Source organism: Homo sapiens, chromosome 8, assembly GCF_000001405.40.
Source record: "Homo sapiens chromosome 8, GRCh38.p14 Primary Assembly".
In the NCBI taxonomy this organism is placed as follows: Eukaryota; Metazoa; Chordata; class Mammalia; order Primates; family Hominidae; genus Homo; species Homo sapiens.
Window position 1 is genome coordinate 35,832,940 of NC_000008.11, and position 23,899 is coordinate 35,856,838.

General features: G+C 36.3%; 1 annotated feature.

Moving 5' to 3' along the window:
- Positions 21,642-22,142: an enhancer, noted in NCBI's record as "H3K4me1 hESC enhancer chr8:35712099-35712599 (GRCh37/hg19 assembly coordinates)". NCBI's record gives its function as "activates a minimal SCP1, AML or CMV promoter by ChIP-STARR-seq in primed H9 embryonic stem cells {active_cell/tissue: H9 hESC(primed)}" and the evidence as "EXISTENCE:reporter gene assay evidence [ECO:0000049][PMID:30033119]".

The window sequence follows — 23,899 nt, forward strand, 5'->3', positions numbered from 1 at the left end:
TCTGTGATCTTTGATTTTACTATTATTATTTGGGGCATCATGAACCATGCTAACATAAGATGGTGAGCTTATTTGATAAAGGTGTGTGTTCTGAATTTTCCACTAATCAGTCATTTCCTCACCTCTGTCCCTCTCCTTGGGACTCCGTATTCCTTGAAATACAACAATATTGAAATCAGGCCAATTAATAACCATACAGTGGCGTCTAAGTTTCAAGTGGCAGGAAGAGTTGCACATCTCTCACTTTAAATCAAAAGCTGGAAAAGATTAAGCTCACTGAGGAAGCCATGTTGAAAGCCGAGAGAGAACTCTTTTGCCAGACAGTTAGCCAAGTTGTGAATGCAAAAGAAAACCTCTTAAAGGAGATTAAAAGTACTACTCCAGTCAACCCACAAAAGATAAGAAAGCAAAAGTCTTTATTGCTGATATGGAGAAAGTCTTAGTGATCTGCACAGGAGATAAAACTAGCCATAGCATTCCCTTGAGCCAAAGCCCAACCTGAAAGCAAAGCCCTAACTCTCCTAATTCTGTGAAGGCTGAGAGGTGAGCAAGCACAGAATAAAAGTTTAAAGCTAGAAGAGGTTGATTCAGGAGGTTTAAGAAGAGAAGCCATCTTCATAACATAAAAAAATGCAAGGTGAAGCAGCAAGTGCTGATGTAGAAGCTGCAGCAAGTTATCCAGAAGATTAGCAAAGATCATTAATGGAAGGGGCTACCCTAACAACAGATTTTCAATGCAGATCAAAAAGCCCTCTGTTGGAAGAAGATGTCATCTATAACTTTCAAACTAGAGAGAAGTCAATGTCTGGTTTCAAAGTTTCATAGGACAGGCTGACACACTTGTTTGTACCTTATAAATGGAACAACAATGCCTCAATGACAGCACGTCTGTTTATAGCATAGTTAACTGAATATTTAAAGCCCACTGTTGAGAACTACTGGTCAGAAAAAATAGATTCCTTTCAAAATATTACTACTCATTGACAATGCATCTAGTCACCCAAGAGCTCTGATAGTTTTTATGCCAGCTAACAAAACATCCATTCTGCAGCCCATGGATCAAGGAGTAATTTTGACTTTCAAGTCCTCTTATTTAAAAAATATTTTTTTTTTTGTAGTGCTATAGCTGCCAGATAGTGATTCCTCTGGTGGATCTGGCCAAAGTAAATTGAAGACATCTGGAAAGGATTCACCATTCTAGATGCCATAAAGAACATTTGTGATTCTTGGGAGGAGCTCAAAATATCAAGCGTAACAGGGGTTTGGAAGAAATTGATTCTAATCCTGGTGGTGACTCAGAGGGCTTCAAGACTTCAGTGGAAGAAGTAGCTGCAGATGTGGTAGAAATAGCAAAGGAACTAGAACTACAAGTGAAGCCTGAAGATGTGACTGAATCACTGCAATCTCATGATAAAATTTGAATGGCTGAAGAGATGCTTTTTATGGATGAGCAAAGACAGTGGTTTCTTAAGCTGGAATCTATTCCTGTGAACATTGTTAAAAAGACAACAAATGATTTAGAATATTGCATAAACTTATTTGATAAAGTGGCTGCAGAGCTTTAAAGGACTGACTCCAATTTTTAATGAAGTTCTACTCTGGGTAAAATGCTATCAAATAGCTTCATATGCTACAAAGATATCTTTCATGAAAAGACAACTCAATCAATGTGGCAAACTTCACTGTTATCTTATTTTAAGAAATTTCCACCCGAGTGTGGTAGCTTATGCCTGTAATCCCAGCACTTTGGGAGGTTGAGGCGGGTGGATCATGAGGTCAGGTGTTCGAGACCAGCCTGGACAATATGGTGAAACCCCGTCTCTACTAAAGATACAAAAATTAGCTGAGCATGGTGGCGCTCGCCTGTAATCCCAGCTACACGGGAGGCTGAGACAGGAGAATCACTTGAACCCAGGAGGTGGAGGTTTCAGTGACCCAAGGTCATACCATTGCACTCCAGCCTGGGCAACAAAGCGAGATTCCGTCTGGAAAAAAAAAAAAAAAGAAAGAAAAGAAATTTCCACAGCCAACACAACCTTCAATGACCACCAATCTGCTCAGCCAGCAGCCATTAACACTGTGGCAAGACCCTCCACCAGCAAAAAGATTGTGACTCACTGAAGGACCAGATAATCATTAACATTTTTAAAAAATGTATTTTTAAATTATGATATATGTGGCTTTTAAAAACAGAATGCTATTGCTCACTGAATAGACTACTGTATAGTATAAACATAATTTTTCTATGTATCAGGAAACAAAAACATTTGTGTGACTCGCTTTATTGTGTTATTTGTTTTTTAGTGGTGCTTTGGAGCCAAATCTGAAATATCTCCAAGGTATACCTGAAAATGAATTCAGCAAAGTTGCAGGATTAGAGCTAATAAATGCATTCGGTAAAATTGCAGGATACAAAACCAACATACAAAACCCAGGAGCATTTCTATACTCTAACAATTAACTCTCTGAAATAGAAATTTTTAAAAAATCTCATTTACCCTAGCTATAGAAAAAAATAGGCATACAAAAAATAGAATGAATAAGACCTACTATTTGATAGCCCAACAGGATAACTACAGTTGATAATAACTTAATTGTACATTTTAAAATAACTAAAAGAGTATAATTGGATTATTTGTAACACAAAGGATAAATGCCTGAGAGGATGGATAGCTCATTTTCCATGTGATTATTACTCATTGCATGCCTGTATCAAAACATTTCATTTACCTATAAATATGTTCACCTACTACCCATAAAAACAAAAAATTAAAAACAAAGTTTCAAAAGAAGTAGGAATAAATTTAATCAAGGAGGTGAAAGTTCTGTACACTGAAAACTATAAAACATTGATAAAGGAAATTGAAGAAAATATAAATACATGGAAAGATATTCTGCATTCATTGATTGGAAAAATATTATTACATGTCTGTACTATAGTATAAGATTCTGTACTATACCATACTCAAAAGAACTACAGATTCAATGTAAATTCCAATCAAAATTCCAATTGTATTTTCACGGAAATAGAAAAAAATCCTAAAATTTTTTTGGAAATACAAAGGCTCCAAATAGCCAAATCAATCTTGAGCAAAAGGAACAAAAGTAGAGGCATCACATTACCTGATTTCAGAATATACTACAAAGCTATAGTAATCAAAACAAATGGGTACTGGCATAAGACAGACACATAGATCAATGAGCAGAATAAATATCCCAGAAATAAATCCACACTGTAGTTAACTCATTTGGACAAAGATGCCAAAAATACAAAATGGGCAAAGGACAGTCTCTTCAATAAATTGTTAGCACAACTGGATATCCTCCTGCAGAAAAATGAAATTGGTCCCTTATTTTACCCTATATACAAAAATCAAGTCAATATAAATTAAAGACATATGTTAAAAACTGATACTGTAACACCACTAGAAGAAAACATACAGAAAGAGCCTCATAATATTGGTCTGGGCAATGATATTTTTATATGACCCCAAAACCAAGGGCAAAAAAAAATGAAAACAAATGGGATCATATGAAACTAAAAAGCTTCTGAACAACAATAAAAATAATCAGAGTTAAGACAGAAACCATGGATTGGGAGAAAATATTTGCAAACCACATATCTGACAAAAGACTAATATGCAGACTATATAAGAATCTCAAACAACTCAAGAGCAAGAAAACAACCTGATTAAAAAGTGGGCAAATAACATGAACAGACATTTCTATGAATGGCCAATAAGTATTTAAAAAACATGCTCAACATCACTAATCACGAGAGAAATGCAAATTAAAACCAGAATGAGATATCATTTTATGTCTATTAGGATGGCTATTATGAAAGAAAAAAAAAACAAGAGATAAAAACTGTTGGTGCAAGTGTGGAAAGAAGATAACACTGGTATACTGTTGGTGGGAATGTAAATTAGTACAACAATTATGGAAAACAGTATGGAGGTTTTTCAAAAAGTTACCATATGATCATAATTTACCATATGATCCAGCAACACTATTACTGGGTATACATCCAAATGAAATGAAAGCACTGTGTGGAAGTCCTAAGTGTACTTCTACATTCATTGCAGCATTATTCAGAATAACCAAGATAAACAATCAGCCTAAGTGTACATCAAATTGATGAATGGATAAATAAAATGTGGTATAAATACAAAATAGCATACTCTTCAGCCTTAAAAAGAAGGAAATTCTTTTATTTGTGGCACTGATTAACATAGAGGACATTATGTTAAGTGAAATAAGCCAGGCACAAAAAGACAAATACTACATAATTTCACTTATATGTAGAATCTAAAAACGAGGAATTCATAGAAGCAGAGAGTAGAATGGTCGTTAATGGGGTCTAAGGAAAGGGAGAGATGGGGAGATATTAGTCAAAGGATACAAAATTTAATTTAGACAGGGGGAATAAGTTTGGGAGATTTATTGTATCCCATGGTGACTGTAATTAATAACAATGCAATGTATTCTTGAAAATTGCTAAGAGTAGATTTTAAGAGTTTTCACCACAAAAACAAAAGGTTAGGTATGTGGGGCAGTGTGTATATTAATTAGCTTGACTTATCCATTCCACAAATATATATGAAAACATTGGCTGGATGCGGTGGCTCATGCCTGTAATCCCAGCACTTCAGGAGGCCGAGGTGGGTGGATCACTTGACGTCAGGAGTTCAAGACCAGCCTGGCCAACATGGTGAAACCCCATCTCTATTAAAATAAAAAACCAAAATTAACTGGGCATGGTGGCACACACCTGTAATCCCAGGTACTCGGAAGGCTGAGGCAGGAGAATCACTTGAACACAGGAGGTGGAGGTTGCTGTGACCCGATTGTACCACTGCCCTCCAGCCTAGGCAACAGAGGGAGACTCCGTTTCAAAAAAAAAAAAAAAAAAATCTATCTATCTATCTATCTATCTATACACACACACACACACACACAGTTTTGTCAATTAAAGAATAGAAAATAGTATTGAGATTCTAGAGTGTGGGTTTGGAGGTAGATGGTCACCTGAGCACACCTAAATTGTGTTTTTTAGGTTTTGTAGAGCAAATCTAATGAGAAGTCCCATGAAGATTACAGGAAGGAATGAACAAAGTAGGGAATCAAGACTAAACTCAGAAAGTTCGGTGGAGATTTTTAGGCCTAAACAGCATTTTTAGTGGGGAGGTTGCTCATGGAAATGGGTAGGGGTAACTAGAATTATTTGTTACAAGACCCTGGGTTTTGGAATTGGAAAAATTCTGGAATTTGGCATTGGATCTGAGTTCCATTCCATCCCACTTATTAAGATGTATGACCTTAAGCACATTGCTTAACACTTGTCTAAAACTCACAATTCTCTTCTGTAATTTGGGCAAAATAAAAGTACACACCTCCTTGAAAGTTTGTTTTGTTTAAAGACTAAATAAGCAAATGTATTAAAGGTGCCTAACACAATTACTCGCATATAATAAATGTTCGATAAATGTTAGCTGTTGTTATACTCGTTATTAGTGGGCCTAGAATATACCCAGGAATTACACCACAGATGTCTTTGTGCCTCTTAGTGGCTTCCTAAGTAAAATCCAAAGAGATTTTTATATCTAGGATGTACAGGCAGAGCTTCCTAACAATTATATTTCTAATAATGTAGAAGAAAGTATAATTTTGGGGTAAAGGGCTAACACTGGGAACTAATACTAAGACTTTTATTGTATACAAACTTAATTGTTCCAAGCACAGTTTTTGGCTAAAAGACAAACAGCCTGGATTCTTATCACACCTATGAACCCTATCATCCACATAATCTTGTGAAATCTACTTATTGTCCTGGTACCTCAATGTCTGTATCAGCATAATGTGAGTATCAAAAATTCTACACTGCCTATGGGCTGTTTGAAGGATTTAACATCAACAACGTATCTCTAAATGGCCAGAGAACAGCAAGTACTATGATGGTTACACAAAAAATATTAACCTTTATGTAACATCTACTATATATTAGACAGTGTTAAAACATTTATTAATAGATACATCATTGGTATGATGATCATCACTGATGTAACAATGATGAATGTTCTTTCCCTTTTAGAAAACTAAAAGAGGATTTAAGAAGGGCCCCAATAATTAAAATACAGTTTTTTTTTGTTTTTTTTTTTTGAGACAGAGTCTCACTCTGTCACCAGGCTGGAGTGCAGTGGCGCAATCTCGGCTCACTGCAACCTCTACCTCCTGGGTTCAAGCGATTCTCCTGTCTCAGTCTCCCAAGTAGCTGGGACTACAGACGTGCACCACCACGCCCAGCTAATTTTTGTATTTTTAGTAGACATGGGGTTTCACCATATTGGCCAGGATGGTCTCGATCTCCTGACCTCGTGATCCGCCTGCCTCAGCCTCCCAAAGTGCTGGGATTACAGGCATGAGCTACGGTGCCTGGTCTAGAATATAGTTTTAAAAGCATGAACTCTGAAGCCAGCCTACATGGATTAACAACTTTGCGCTATCACTTACTAGCTCTGGAGCCTTGGACTAGTTTCTTAACCTCACTATGCCTTGAATTTATCATATTTTAAATGAAGACAGTAATAATCTAAGGCTTTCTGGGGTTCAGTTAATACATGTAAACGTGCTTAGAACAGTTCCTGACACAGTTATGGGCCAGGAAATTATCGTAATAATGACTATATGACATCACCACCTTCCAAAGATAATTTAATGGGAAAATTGGCACAGTTACCACCTTAAAGGTATAGAAGAAGATAGACATAGTAATTAGATTACATGTATATGAAACAGCCTGGTGCCTGTCATATTAGTCAATGTTAGTGTTGCTAATATTATTATTACTATTACTGTTATCACTGAGGTAGAGCTAGAAATTGAAGTCACTATGAATCGCTTCCAGCAGAAGATAACTGACAACGACATAAAGCACCAAAGGAGTCAATGTTTTAAGTGTACATCCTGCAGTTTTGTCCTAGATGTTGTATTTACTTAACAAATATTTACAGACTCAATCAATAAATAAGTGAATAAATGAATTTCCACATGACCCATCTTTCTGGATAAGCTTATGGAATTTGCAGCAGATGCTATTTTTTTCATTTCTTTCTTTTCTTTTTAGAGACAGGATCTCATTCTATCACCCAGGCTGGAGTGCTGTGGTGCAATTATGGCTCACTGCAGCGTCAAACACCTACGCTCAAGCGATTCTCCTGCCTTGGCCTCCCAAGTAGCTAGGATTACGGGCTTGCATGACCACACCCAGCTAATTATTTTATTTTTTACTTTTTGTAGAGACAAGGATCTCACTATGTTAACCAGGCTGCTCTCGAATTCCTGGGTTTAAGCAATCCTCCCACCTTGGCCTCCCAAAGAGCTGTGGTTACAGACGTGAGCTACTGCACATGGCCTGCAAATACGATTTCTATCAAACTTAGAAGTCAGCCCTCTCAACAGCCTGCCTGGCATCTTTACACTTTACCAAATATAAAGACAGAAAACCCAGATACTTTTCTTACTCCATCAATGATTTCAGTTCCTGTCTACACTAGCTCTCCTCACACTATTTTATTTTAAATTTCCTAAACAATGTTTGTATCCTAGTTCTCTATTGTAACACGCATTTAACTGCTTAGTTCCATATTATATTGGGATGTTTAGAGGATAGACTTTTCTATTAAGAAGCAATTGTTATTATTAAAGTATTTGGTGAGGGACTTATATATTCCTATCAATTTGCCTAGAAAGGGACTGATAGAAGGAGTCCAAACACAATGAAGAATTTGGTAATGCTTTTATAAAATGTTATTTTGTATGTAATTTAACATTTTAAAATAGCAAAATTTAGTCTAAATAAGGGTGTTAATACTAACAACGTATCACACCTTGATCTAGTTCTTCAATGGAAAGTAATCACTGTACCATATTTAGCAAACAAAGAGCCCTATCCATTGGGTACCAATGAGAACATTTACAATGGGCCTTAGAAGTCTTTTCAATACAGTGTCTTCGGTAGCCACCTCTACTCACTAGAACTTAGTCTTTGGATAAAAACTATTTAATATTTCTGGCCAAAGAAAAAAATAAAACTGGTTTAAAAAATATATTGTCTGGCCGGGCATGGTGGCTCACGCCTGTAATCCCAGCACTTTGGGAAGCCAAGGCGGGTGGATCACAAGGTCAGGAGATCGAGACCATCCTGGCTAACATGGTGAAACCCCATCTCTACTAAAGATACAAAAAATTAGCCAGGCGTGGTGGCAGGCGCCTGTAGTCCCAGCTACTCGGGAGGCTGAGGCAGGAGAATGGCGTGAACCCTGGAGGTGGAGCTTGCAGTGAGCCGAGATCGCGTCACTGCACTCCAGCCTGGGCAACAAAGTGAGACTCCATCTCAAAAAAAAAAAAAATATATATATATATATATATATATATGCATATATATTTGACTTACATACACAGCCATGTAACATACACAAGTAAGTTAATTCCTCTTTATTAAAAGAAATGTCTACTCCAGGTGAGACCCCATGGCCCCAGGGTCCAGGTCCATCCCAGTAGACTTCAGTGCCAGATTGGTCAATATGAATGCAGACTCCAGGACTACCCCTGCAGACCAAGGTTTCAGACAGCTCCCACAGCACCAGGCCTGCCTCCAGGCCCACCCCTGAGCCAAACCAGCTGATACAGCCTGAGGCTTCAGGTCAGCATTCATACACTAAACCTTCAGACTGGCCCCCATGGACCCAGGCTCCAAGCCTGCTCCAGAACCAGACTAGCTTCAAGTTCCAGGCAGGTTCTCATGGTGCTATGGTCCAGGACCCAGGCCCACCCCTGAAGACTCAGGATCTAGGCCCACCTCAGTGCCAGACCAGCCCCCACAGACTCACACTCCAGAGTCATACCCATTGACCTGGTTGCCAGGCCCATCCCAGCACCTGGCTGGCCCTCATGGACCCACCCCAGCAGATCCATGCTTCAGACCTGCCCCAGTGGACCCAGGCTGAAGGCCCAAGCCTGCAAACCCAGGCACCAGACGTGCCCACCTGTTGACTGAGGCTTCATGTTAAGCTACACAAGGACACCAGCAGGGAACCAGCAGGGACACCTGTGGAACATGATATATGGCCTTCCTAGAATGTCTGAAAGGGCTGACTGATGAAGGGCTTTTCCTGCCACAGCCAGTCTGTAAAAACTGAAATAAATGCCTATGTTTTCAAGTATGCAAACATTAATGCATAGGCACAGGATCACAAATAATTAGGGAAGCAAGACACCATCAAAAGAACAAAATAAAGCACAAGTACCTGAACCTAAAGAAAGAGAGATTTATGAACTCACTGACAAAGAATTAAAAATAATTGTCTTAAAGAAGCTCAATGAGCTATAAGAAAAACAGACAACTAATTGATATCAGGAAAATAATATATCAGCAAAAGAAGAAGTTTAACAAAAAGATAAAAACTATAAAAAAGAGCTGAATGAATATTCTGGAACTGAAGAACACAATTACTAAACCAAAAAATCCCCTGGAGAGCTTTAACAGAAGATTCAGTCAAGCAGAAGTCTCAATGGTCTCAAAGACAGGCTATTTGAAATTGCCCCATCAGATGAACAAAAAGAAAAAAGAGGCTGAGTGTAGTGGCTCACATCTCTAATCTCATCACTTTGGAAGGTCAAGGCAGGAGGATCACTTGATGTCAGGACTTCGAGACCAGCTGGGAGAAAAAAGAGAAACCCTGTCTCTACTAAAAGCTAAGGTGGGAGGATTGCTTGAGCCCAGGAGTTTGAGGCTACAGTAAGCTAGCTAGGATCATGCCACTGTACTGCAGCCTGGGTGACAGATAAAGACCTTGTCCCTTAAAAAAAAATAAAAAGGAAAAAAGTGAAGAAAGTCTACAGAAATTATGAGACACCATTAAGTGAACTAATTTATGTAATATGGAAATTCCAGAAGGAGCAGAGAAAGGGCAAAAAAGCTTATTCAAAGAAATGATGAGAGAAAACTTCCCAAATCTGGAGAGGGACATAAATATCCAGATCCATGAATCTCAAAGAACCCCAAATAGAATAAATATAAAGAGATCTTGGCTGATGCACATTGTAATTCAATTCTCAAAAATCAAAGAGAAAGAGAGACTATTGAAACCATCAAGAGAAAAGCAACTCATTATGTACAAGGAAATTTCTATTACTATTAGCAGGTTTCTCAGCAGAAACTTTGCAGTCCAGGAGATGGGATGATACACTTAAAGTGCTGAAAAAAAAATAATAATACTATGCCTGGAAAGATTGTCCTTCAGAAATGAAGGAAAGATAAGGGCTTTCACAGACAAGAGCTGTGGGATGTCATAACCATTACATGGATTATAAGACCTGCATTATAAGAAATGCTAAAGGACATTCTTGAAGCTGAAATAAAAGGACACTACTTAATAACATGAAAACATATAAAAGTATAAAACTCACTGGTAAAGGTAAGTATCTAGTGAAATTCAGAATATTATAATATTATAATGGTGGTGTGTAAATCATGTACATCTTTAAGTTTTTAAAAATTTTAAGTTCCAGAATACACATGCAGAACGTGCAGGTTTGTTACATAGGCATATATGTGCCATTGTGGTTTGCTGAACCTAACAACCCATTATCTAGGTTTTAATCCCCATATGTATTAGGTATTTGTCCTAATGCTCTCCCTTCCCCTTGCCCCCCATCCCCTAAAAGGGCTCAGTGTATGTTGTTCCCCTCTGTGTCCACGTGTTCTCATTGTTCAATTCCCATTTATGAGTGAGAACAATCATGTATATCTTTAGTATGAAGGTTAAAAGGCAAAACTATCAAAAATATTAATGACTATAATAATCATCAAAGAATACACAACATTAAAAGATATAAACTGAAATCAAAAATATAAAATATGGAGGTATATGGAGTAAAACTGTGGAGTTTTTTAATGCAATCAAAGTTAAGCTGCTATAAGTTTAAAGTGGTTTGTTATAACTATAGGATATGTTATGTGACCCTCACATTAACCAAAAAAAAAAAAAAAAAAAAAAAAAAAAGAAACCTATAGTAGATACACAAAAAATAAAGACACAGGAATCAAAGTATGCCTGACATGGTTTGGCTCTGTGTCCCCACTCAAATCTCATATTGAATTGTAATCCCCAGTGTTGGAGGAGGAACCTGGTGGGAGGTGATTGGATCATGGGGACAGATTACCCCTTTGCTGTTCCCATGATACTGAGTGAGTTCTCACAAGATCTGGTTGTTTGAAAGTGTGTAGTAATTACCCCTTTGCTCGCTCTCTCTTCTGCTGGCCATGTGAAGATGTGCCTGCTTCCCCTTCTGCCATTGTTGTAATTTTCCTGAGGCCTCTCCAGAAGCAGAAGCCTGTACAACCCACAGAACTATGAGCCAATTAAACCTCTTTTCTTTATAAATTACCTAATCTCAGGTATGTCTTTATAGTAGTGTGAGAACAGACTAATTATCATATCACAAAGACAGCAAGAATGAAAAATGGAACAAAGGAAATTATTTATTCAAAAAATTATCATACCACAAAGAAAGACAGCAAGAATGGAAAAATGGAACAAAGGAACTACAGAACAGTCAGAAAACAGCAAATGGAATAATTTCATTATTTAAAATAACCAAAATGCAATCAACAAAATGGTAGTAGTAATTCTTTGGTTATCAGTAATTACTTTAAATGTAAATGGATTAAATTATACAATCAAAACACAGAGTGGCTAAAAAAAATTCCCACTATCTATTGACTATAAGTGACTCACTTTAATGACGTTATAGGTTGAAAGTAAAGGGATGAAAAAGATATTCCATGCTAATGGTAACTAAAAGAGAGCACAGGTCTCTTATATTCTTATATTGGATAAAAAGAGACTTTAAAACTGTAAAAGAGATAAAGAAGGTCATTATCTAATGATAAAGGGGTAAATTCATTGAGAAGATACAACAATTGTAAATATATATACACCAACATTAGGCCATCTGAATATATAAGACAAATATTAATACATTTGAAAGGAAAGACTGACTGCAATACATTAATAACAGGTAGCATCACTACAAAACTTCCAACAATGGAAATATAATCTAGAAAGAAAATTAATAAGGAAATTTTGAATTTGAACTACATTATGGACACAATAGCCTAATCAACATATAAAAAACATTCCATCCAACAATAGAAAAATACACTATTTTTTCAAGCACACATGGGATATTCTCCATGATAGATCATATCATGTCTTAACAAATTTAAGAAGACTAGATTCATATCAAGTATATATTCTGATCAAAATGGTATGAGACTCAAAATCAGTAACAAGAGAAAAATTGGAAAATTCACAAATATATGGAAATTAAAGAGCATGCTTCCAAATATACAAGTCAAAAAAAAAGTTAAAAGGAAAATTTAAAAATATTTTGAGATGAATGAAAATGGAAATACATCATACCAAAGCATATAGAATGCAGCAAAAGCAGTTCTAAGAGTAAAGTTTATAGCAACAAATGCCTACATCAAAAAAGAAAAAAAAGTCTCAAATAAGTGACATAACATTACACCCAAAGGATCCTGAAAAAGAACAAGCTAAGCCCAATGTTAGTAGAGGGAAGGAAATAATAAAGATCAGAGAAGATATACATAAAATAGAGACTAGAAAAATAATAGAAATTTTCAATGAAATTAGTTTCAGTGCACTAGACTTCAATGAAACTAGTTAGATTTCTGAAAAGATAAACAAAATTGACAAAACTTTAGCTTAACAAAAAAAAGAGATAAGACTCATATAAATCAAATAAGAAATGAAAGAGGAAACATTACAAATAATAGTGTGAAAACATAACAGATCATAAGAAACTATGAACAGTCATATGCCAACAAATTGAATAAACTAGAAGAAATAAATTGCTAGAAACATATATTCTACCAAGACTGAATCCTGAAAAAATAGAAAATCTGAACAGACCAGCAATAAGTGAGCAAACTGACTCAGTAATAGTATAAAGACTACCATCAAAAAAAGAAAGCCCAGGATCTTATGTCTTCACTGCTGAATTCTATAAACATTTAAAGAATTAATGCCAATTTTCTTCAAACTCTTCCAAAATATTGAAAAGGAAGGAATCCTTCCAAACTCATTTTACAAAGCCAGCATTACCCTGACATCAAAGTGAGACAAGAATATAATAAGAAAATTTTAAGCCAGTATTCTGATGTACACAGATGTAAAAATCCTCAACAAAATACTAGCAAACCAAATTCAACATTTAAAGGATCAGTAGCCACAGGCAAGTGGGATAATCATTAAAAGGATTATTCACCATAAGCAAGTGGGATTTATTTGGGAGATGCAAGGATTATTCAGCCTATGCAAATCAATAAGTACGTTATACTGCAGTAACAGAATGAAGAAAAAAAGATAATTTCAACAGACACAGAAAAAGCATTTGACAACATTTAATGTCCTTTCATGATTAAAAAAACTCAACAACTTAAGTATTAAAGGATGTACCTCTACACAATAAACACCATATATGACAAATCCACAGCTAACATCATATTCCATGGTGAAAAGTTAAAAGCTTTTCTGCTAAGATCAGGTACAAGACAAAAGTACTCATTTTTGCCACTTACATGCACCATAGTACTGGAAGTCCTTGCCACAACAATTAGGTAAGAGAAATAAGTAAAAGATATCTAGTCAAAAAGCAAGAAGTTAAACTGTCTCTGTTTGCAGATGACATAACTTTACACACTATGGAAAACCCTAGAGACTCCACCAAAAAAAACTATTTAAACATAAATTCAGTAAAGTTGCTGATTCAAAATCAACATACAAAAATCAGTAGTATTTCTATATAGCAATAATAAACTCTCTGAAAAAGAAATCATGAAAACAATTTTATTTACAATATCTACCAAAAAAAATACTTAGGAATGCATTTAACCAAGGATATGAAAGATCTGTACACTGAAAACTAAAAAAATATTGATTAAAAAATAGAAGAAAACACAAATACTTGGAAACATACCCTGTGCTCACGAATTGGAAGAATTAATATTATTAAAATGTCTATACTCCCCAAGAGTATATACAGATTCATTGTGGTCTCTATTAAAATTCCAATGACATTGTTCACAGAAATAGGAAAAATGATTCAAAATGTAGTATGGAATCACAAAAGACCTGAAATAGCTAAAGCAATCTTGAACAATAGAACAAAGATACAGTTGAACCTATAGAGATATAGAGTAGAATGATGATTACTAGAATCTAGGAAGGGTAGTAAGAGGTGGGTGGAGGGGTGCGGGGATGGTTAAAGTGTACAAAACTATAGTTAGATGAAATGATAAGAGTTGGTCAATAAGACTCTAGTCACAAAAGGGTGACTAGAGTCAATGATAACTTATTGTACATTTTAAAATAACTAGAAGAGTATAATTGAATCGTTTGTAACACAAAAAAAGGATAGATGCTTGAAGTGATGGACACCCCATTTACCCTGATGTGATTGTTATACATTGTATGCCTGTATCAAAATACCTCATGTAGTCCATAAATACTTACTATATACCCATAAAAATTTAAAATGTTTTTTAAAAAAGTAGAGGCATCACATGACCTGGTTTCATAATACACTATAAAGTTATAGTAATCAAAACAGATTGGTGCTGGCATAAAGATAGACACAGACGAATGGAATGGAACAGAGACATCAGAAATAAATACATACATATAGAGTCAATTGATTTTTTTACAAAGACGCTGACAACACACAATTGGGACAGGACGACCTCTTTAATAAATGGTGTTGAGACAATGATATCTACATCCAGAAGAATGAAATTGTACCCTTTTCTCACACCACATACGAAAATCAATTCAAAATGGATTAAAGGCTTATTAAGACTTGCCACTGTAACATCACTAGAAGAAAACAGAGGAAAAGCTACATGACAAAGGTCTAGGGAATGACTTTTTTGGGGGGGGATATGACTCCAAAATCATAGGCAACAAAAGAAAAAATTGACAAATGAGCTTATCTCATTGTTAAGATTCTGCACAGCAGTGAGAGAAAAGATTTGCAGACTATACATCTGAAAAGTGATTAATATCCAAAACATATAAGGAACTCAACTTAATAGCAATAAAACAAATAACCTGATTTTAAAACTGGGCAAAGGGCTTGAACAGACATTTCTCAAAGGAAGATATACAAATGGCCAAAAGGTAAATGAAAAAAATGCACAATACAACTAATCATCAGGAAAATACAAATTAAAACCACAACGAGATGTCACCTCATACCTGTTAGAATGGCTATTATCAAAAAGATGAAAAATAGCAAGTGTTAATGAAGATGTGGAGAGGAGGGAACACCTGCACACCATTGGTGTGAATGTGAATTAGTACAGCTGTTATGGAAAACACTACTGAGTTTTCTCAAGAAGCTAAAAATAGAACTACTTTATAATCCAGCAATCCTATTACTGAGTATACATCCAAGTGAAATGAAAGGATTATTGTAGAGATATCTACACTCCGATGTTCACTGCAAGATTATTCACAATACCTAAGATTGGAATATCTAAGTGCCTATCAACAGATGAATGGAAAAAGAAAGTGTGGTATGTATTATATATACAATAGAATACCAATCAGCCTTAAAAAATGAGAGAAATCTTGGTGTTTGTGACACTATGGCTGAACCTGCAGGATGTTAAGTGAAATAAGCCAGGAACAGAAAGAAATATGCACAGTCTCACTTAGGATGTGGAATCTAAAAAAGTCAAACTCACAGAAGCAGACAGTAGAATAGTGGTACCAGGAGCTGGGGGAGGGGGTTGGAGAGAGACCTGGCTTAGGGAGATGTTGGTCAAAAGATAAAACATTTCAATTAGGCAGAATATGTTCAATGACCCATTGTACATCAATGTGGACATAGTTAGTACAATGTATTGTATACTTGAAAATGCTAACAGAGTAGACTTTAAGTGTTTTCAACACAAAAGAATGGTAAATATGTGGGATTATGCATATGTTAATTAACCTGATTTAACCGTTCCACAATGTATACATATTTCAATGTATCAAATTCTACACCATAAATATACACAATTATTATTTGTCAATTAAAAATAAATTAATAGAGGAAAAATAAGTGCTAAGGAACTTTTAATTATAGTTGTCTCTGTGGAGGCGAATTGAGGATTCAAACATGATAGGGTATTTTATTTTTTAGTACATACTTTCTCTTATGATTTGGTATGTTTAACATGAATGATGTCCTACATTATTTTTCCATCTTAAAAGATAATTAAAAGAATTTGATGAGTACATAAATGTAACCTAAAGAGTTTAACGGATAAATAGTACAGCAGTCATTTTATTCCTAATTACATTCTTAACATTTTTACTTCTAAGCAACGATTCATGTTTCTGTTTATGCTCAAAAAGAACAAAAATTCCTGCAAATAGTGCCTCTAAGATGAAATATCATCTCTTCCAAATCAGTATACCTAAGAGTGAGGCAAAGCCTCTTATAAATCATAAAGTGCTGTGCCAATGTATGGCATTGCTTTTATTCAATAAGGGACACTAAAATCATTGAGCTCACATGATTTTCAGAATAATGGTGCAAAGTAGGTAGAGTAGATGATTCAATTTTCAGAATTTCAAGTCAACTGGGCTTCAGAATTCAAACACAGTCTCTTAGCAATGACACCCTGCACAGCTCTTTAGAGTCTAAATTGTCTAAGCCTGTATGTGGTGTTTTAAACTGTAGCAAGCTACCCAGATCCTCTTTATATCATTACTGTTCTATAAGAAATTACAGCTTCTCAGTCAATAAGAAAACTGCCAATACCAGAAAGTAAAGTGCCTAAGATTTTTTTTTTAAAGAATGCACTATATGTAATAACTGATAATGGAAAGAGAAATCCTACTGACCTCTTGTAACGGAATCATTTACACAGTACATTGATTTTAGAGTTTTTTTGGATTCCTTTCCAATAAAAAAAAAAGTTATTCTTCTGTTATACATGGTTGATGTTGCCTAAAATCTGATTTCCTAAGTAGGAGATTATCCAGATTATTATTTAATTTCAGCTTTCATTTCAGATACATGGAGTACACATGCAGATTTGTTACATGGGACTACTGTGTGATGCTGAGGTTTGAGGTATGAATCCCATCATCCAGGTAGTGAGCATAGGACCCAATAGGTAGTTTTTCAACCCAATTCTCCCTCCCTCCCATCCCCATAATGGTCTATGCTGCTTACTGTTCCCATGTTTATGTCATGTGCTAAATGTTTAGCTCCCACTTATAAGTGAGAACATGCAGAATTTGTTTTTTTTTCTGTGTTAATTTCCTTAGGATTATGGCCTCCAGCTCCATTCGTGTTGCTGCAAAGGATACAATTTCATTATTTTTTATGGCTGCATAGTATCCAATGGTATGTACATACCACATTTTCTTTATCCAATCTACCACTGATGGACACCTGGGTTGATTCCATGTTTTTGCTATTGTGAATAGCACAATGATGAAAATATGAGTGCATGTGTCTTTTTGATGGAACGATTTATTTTCCTTTGGCTGTATACCCAGCAATGGGATTGCTGGATCAAATGATAGTTTTATTTCAAGTTCTTTGAAAAATTTCCAGACTGCTTTCCACAGTGGCTGGCTGAATTAATTTACATTCCTACCAACAGTGTATAAACGTGTCCTATTTTCTGCAGCCTGGCCAGCATCTGTTGTTTTTTGACTTTTTAATAATAGCCATTCTGAGTGGTGTGAGGTGATATCTCACGGTGGTTTTGATTTGCATTTATCTGATGATTCATAATGCTGAGCATTTTTTCATGTTCGTTGGCTGCATGTATGTCTTCTTTTTTAAGAAGTGTCTGTTCATGTCCTTTGCCTATGTTTTAATGGGGTTGTTTTTTGCTTGTTGATTGGTTACTTATAGATTCCGGATATTAGGATTTTGTTGGGTGCATAGTTTGCAAATATCTTCTCTCACATATAAGTTGTTTGTTTACTGTGTTGATGGTTTCCCTTGCTGTGCAAAAGCTCTTTATTTAGGTCTTACTTGTTTATATTTGTTTTGTTGCTTTTGAGGTCTTAGCCAAAAATCATTTGCCAAAGTTAATGTTGAGAAGAGTATTTCCTAGGTTGTCTTCTAAGAATTTTTATAGTTTGAGGTCTTACATTTAAATCTTTGACCTATGTTGGGTTAATTTAAAGCTAAGGGTCCAGATTCAATCTTTTGTACATGGCTAGCCAGTAATCCCAGAACCATTTATTGAATAGAAAGTCCTTTGCCCATTGCTTTTATCAGCCTTGTTGAGGATCAGGTGGTTGAAGATGTGAGGCTTTATTTCTGAGTTTTCTATATTGTTCAGTTTGCCTATGTGTCTTTTTTTGTACCATTACCATACTGTTTGGTTTACTGCTGTTTTGTAGTATGATTTGAAGTCTGGTAGTGTGATGCCTCCAGCTTTGTTCTTTTTGCTTAGGATTGCTTTGGTGATTTGGGCTCTTTTGGATTCCATATGAATTTTAGAATAGTATTTTCCTATTTTGTGAAGAATGATGTTGGTATTTTAATGGGAATAGTGTTGAATCTGCAAATTGCTTTGGGAAGTATGGCTATTCCATTGATATTGATTCTTCCTATCCATGAATGTAGAATGTTTTTCCACTTATTAATGCCATCTCTGATTTACTTCAGCAGCGTTTTATAGTTCTTCCCGTAGATATACTTTACCTCCTTGGTTTGTTGTAGTCTTAGGTATTTTATTTTTTGAGGCTATTGTAAATAGAATTGTGTTGTTGATTTGACTTTCACAGCCTGGATATTATTGGTATATGGAAATGCTCCTGAGCTTTGTATTGATTTTGCATCAATGTATAAGCCTTACTAAAATTGTTTATCAGTTCTAAATAACCTTTTGGTGGAGTTGCTAGAGTTTTCTAAGTATAGAATTATATTATCAATGAAGAGAGATCGTTTGGCTTTTTTTATTTGGATGCCTCTTCTTTCTTTCTCTTGCCTGATTGTTCTGGCTAAAACTTCCAGTATTATGCTGAATAGGAGTAGTCAGAGTGGATATCTTTATCTTATTCCAGTTCTCAAGCAGAACTGTTCCAGCTTCTTCCTATTCAGTGGGATGTTGGGTGGGGGTTTGTCATAGATGGCTCTTATGATTTTGAGGTATAATCCTTTGATACCTAGTTTGTTGAGGGTTTGTATTATGAAGGAATATTGTGTTTTATCCAAAGCTTTTTCTCTATTGAGAATATCATGTAGTTTTTTATTTCAATTATGTTTACATGGTGAATCACATTTATTGTTTTGTGTATGTTGAACCAGACCTGTATCCCAGAAATAAAGCCTACTTTATTGTAATGTATTAACTTTTTGATGTACTGCTGGATTCAGTTTGCTAATATTTCGTTGATTTTTGCATCTATGTTTACCAGGGAGAGTAGCCTGATGTCTTCTTTTATTGTTGTGTCTCTGCAGATTTTGGTATCAGGCTGATGCTTGCTTCATAGAATGAGTTTGGGGGAGGTTCTCTTCACTGATTTTTTTTTTGGAATAATTTCAGTAGGACTGGTATCAATTCTTCTTTGTATGTCTGGTAAAATTCAGTGGTGAATCTATATGGTTCAGGGCTTATTTTGATTGGTTGGTTCTTTATTATTTATTCAATTTCAGAAATTTATATTGGTCTAGTCAGGGTTTCAGATCTCTTCCTGATTTAATCCTGGGAGATTGTATGCATCCAGGATTTATCCATTTCCTCTAGATTTTATAATTTATTTGCATAGAGTTGCTCCACACTAGTCTGAGAATCTTTTGTATTTTTGTGGGATCAGTGGTAATATTGCCTTTGTCATTTCTGATCGTGCTTATTTGGATCTTCTTTTCCTTTTTCTTTGTTAATCTTGCTACCAGTCTATCAGTCTTATTTGCTTTTTCACAAAACAAACTCTTGGTTTTATTGATCTTTTGTATGAATTTTTGCATCTCAATTTCATTACATTCTTCTCTAATTTCAGTTATTGTTTTTCCTTGATAGCTTTGGGATTTTTTTTTTTAGTTCCTTTAAGGTAAAAAATTAGATTGCTAATTTGAGATATTTCTAATTTCTTCATGAAGGTGTTTAGGGATATAAACTCTACTTTTAACACTGCTTTGGCTGCATCTGAGAGATTTTTGGTAAACTGTCTTCCTATTTTCACTGCTTTCAATTTTTTTTTTGGTTTCTGACTTAATTTCAATGTTCACCCAGAAGTTATTCAGGAGTAAATTGTTTAATTTCTATGTATTTGTATAGTTGAGATCTTCTTGATGACAATTTCTATTTTTATTGCACTGTGGTCTGAGTATGTGCTTGGTATAGCTGCACTTTTTAAAAAATTTCTTGAGATTTGCTTTATGACTAAGAATGTGGTCAATCTTATATTGTATGTGCAGATGAAAAGAACATATATTCTTTGCTTTTGGGGTTGAGCATTCTATAGCTGTTTATTAAGTCCAATTTGTTGAGTATCGAGTTTAAGTCCAGAGTTTCTTTGCTAGTTTTCCGCCTTGATGATTTAACACTATCAGTGGAGTGTTGAAGTCTCCCACCATTATTGTGTGGTTAAGTCTTTTCATAGGCTAAGAAAAACTTGTTTTATGAATCTGGGTGCTCCAACTTTGGGTGCACATATATTTAGAATAGTTAAGGCTTCTTGTTGGATTGTACCCTTTATTATTACCCTTCATTGTCCTTCTTAATTTTATTGATTTAAAGTATATTTTACGGCCTCTAGATCTGCACTGTTTAATTCAGTAGCCACTACCTTCATATGGCAGTTTAGCACTAGAAATGTAACTGATCCAGAATGTGGAATAGGGGGATCATGGCGGATGGGAGGCAGGACTAGATTGCAGCTCCAGACAGAGCAGCATGTGGACGTTTGCACTGTGAATTTTATCTCCAGATCAACTGCAAGAACAAACCAGCAATCCCGAGAAGGAAAGAAGGAAGCGGGCTGCTCCTACAGCACCCAGGAGATATCTCAAATACTGTGAATGCCCAAACTGGGGAATTGGGAAAGGGAGACCCTCCTCTCCCAAATATGCACCCCCACTGGACAAGACGAAGTCTGTGTGTGGGAGAAGTTTCCAACTTTACATGAGGCTGAGTCAAATTAGAGAGCCAAGTGAAATACAGGGGTGGAGAAGTAGCAAAAAGGCCCCAGGACCTCGCTGGGTCCCCAGCAGCCCATTCCTGCCTGGCACCACAGGGATCCATCGGGAGAGTGGCCAGAGGAGCAGCGGGTAAAACTCTACAGGAAGAAAGCATTCTCTAGCTGAACTTTGTAACAATTTGAATGGGGTGAGAAGTCTCCTAGACAGAACTCTGGAAAGTGTGTGAACTGGGCATGCAGAATTCACAGGCAGGGGAAGAACTAAAGCCCTTTTCTTTTGCAGCTGGGAGGCAGATAGCCTCAGGCAAATTTTCAAGCCCAGCTCACCCTCCACCTGGCAGGCTCGGGGCTGTTAGCGAGGCTGGGAGTGGGCATGGTGGGAGTGAGTCTGGCCCTTCAGTTTGCATGGGAGCTGGGTGAGGCCTGTGACTGCTGGCTTTCTGTCTTTCCTGACAACCTGCCATGACTCCACAGAGGCAGCCATAATACTCCTAGGTACCTAGGTCCTCAATTCCAGTGAACTGGGAGTCCCACCCCCACCCCCACAGCAGCCACAGCAAGACTTGCCCAAGGAGAGTCTGACCTCAGACATGCCTAACCCTGCCCCCACGTGATAGTCCTTCCCTATCCACCCTGGTAGCAGAAGACAAAGGGCATATAATCTTGGGAGTTCTATGGCCCCACCCACCACTGGTCCCTCCTCCACACTGATGCTTTCTGGAAAATGCCACCTCCTGGCAGGAGGCCAACTAGCACAACAATAGAGCATTAAACCACCAAAGCTAAAGACCCTCATGGAGTCCATTGCACTCTGCCACCTCCACTAGAACAGGTGCTGGTATCCACAGCTGAGAGACCCATAGACAGTTTACATCATAGGATTCTGTGGAGATAACACCAGTACCAGCCCAGAGCTGGGTAGACTTGTTGGGGGGCTAGACCCAGAAGAGAGACAACAATCATGGCAGTTCAGCTCACAGGAAGCCACATCCATAGGAAAAGGGGGTGTGTACTACATTAAGGAAATGCCTCATCAGACAAAAGAATCTGAACAACAGCCTTCAGCCCTAGACTTTCCCTCTGACAGAATCTACACAAATGAGAAGGAACCAGAAAACCAACCCTGGTAATATCACAAAACAAGTCTCTTTGACACCCCCAAATTCACCAGCAATGGATCAAAACCAAGAAGAAATCCCTGATTTACCTGAAAAAGAATTCAGAAGGTTAGTTATTAAGCTAATCAAAAAGGCACCAGAGAAAGGCAAAGCCGAATGCAAGGAAATCCAAAAAAATGATACAAGAAGTGAAGGGAGAAATATTCATGGAAATAGATAGCTTAAATAAAAAACAATAAAAATTTCAGGAAACTTTGGACACACTTTTAGAATTGCAAAATGCTCTGGAAAGTCTCAGCAATGGAATTAAGCAAGTAGAAGAAAGAAATTCAGAGCTCGAAGACAAGGTCTTTGAATTAACACAATCCAGCAAAGACAAATAAAACTAAGGTCACATCTCGAGGAACTAGAGAAACAAAAACAAACCATACCCATATCCAGCAGAATAAAGGAAATAACCAAGATCAGAGCAGAACTAAATGAAATTGAAACCAAAAAAATATAAACGATAAACAAAAAGCTGGTTCTTTGAAAAGAAAAATAATATACCATTAGCAAGACTGTACAAGAAAAGAAGAGAGAAAATCCAAATAACCTCAGTAAGAAATGAAACAGGAGACATTACAACTGACACCACTGAAATACAAAAAAATCATTCAAGGCTACTATGAACACCTTTATGCACATAAACTAGAAAACCTAAAAGAGATGGATAAATTCCTGGAAAAATACAACCCTCCTAGCTTAAATCAGGGAGAATTAGATACCCTGAACAGACCAATAACAAGCAATGAGATTGAAATGGTAATTAGAAAATTACCTACAAAAAAAGTCCAGGGCCACACGGATTCACAGCAGAATTCTACCAGACATTCAAAGAAGAATTGGTACCAATTCTTTTGACGCTATCCCACAAGATAGAGAAAGAAGAAACCCTCCCTAATTCATTCCATGAAACCAGCATCACCCTAATACCTAAACCAGGAAAGGACATAACCAAAAAAGAAAACTACAGACTGATATCCTTGATGAAGATTAACGCTAAATTCCTTAAAAAAATACTAGCTAACTGAGTCCAAAAACATATCAAAAAGATAATCCACCATGATCAAGGGTTTCATACCAGGGATGCAGGGATGGTTTAACATATGCAAGTCAATAAATGTGATACACCACATAAATAGAATTAAAAACAAAAATCACATGATCATCTCAATAGATGCAGACAAAGCACTTGACAAAATCCAGCATTCCTTTATGATTACAACTCTCAGCAAAATCGGCATACAAGTGACATACCGTAATGTAATAAAAGCCATCTATGGCAAACCCACAGCCAACATAATACTGAATGGGGAAAAGATAAAAGCATTCCCTCTGAGAACTGGAACAAGACAAGGATGCCCACTCTCACCACTCCTCTTCAACATAGTACTAGAAGTCCTAGCCAGAGAAATCAGACAAGAGGAAAAAAATAAAGGGCATCCAAATCAGTTAAGAGGAAGTTAAACTGTCACTGTTTGCTGATGATAT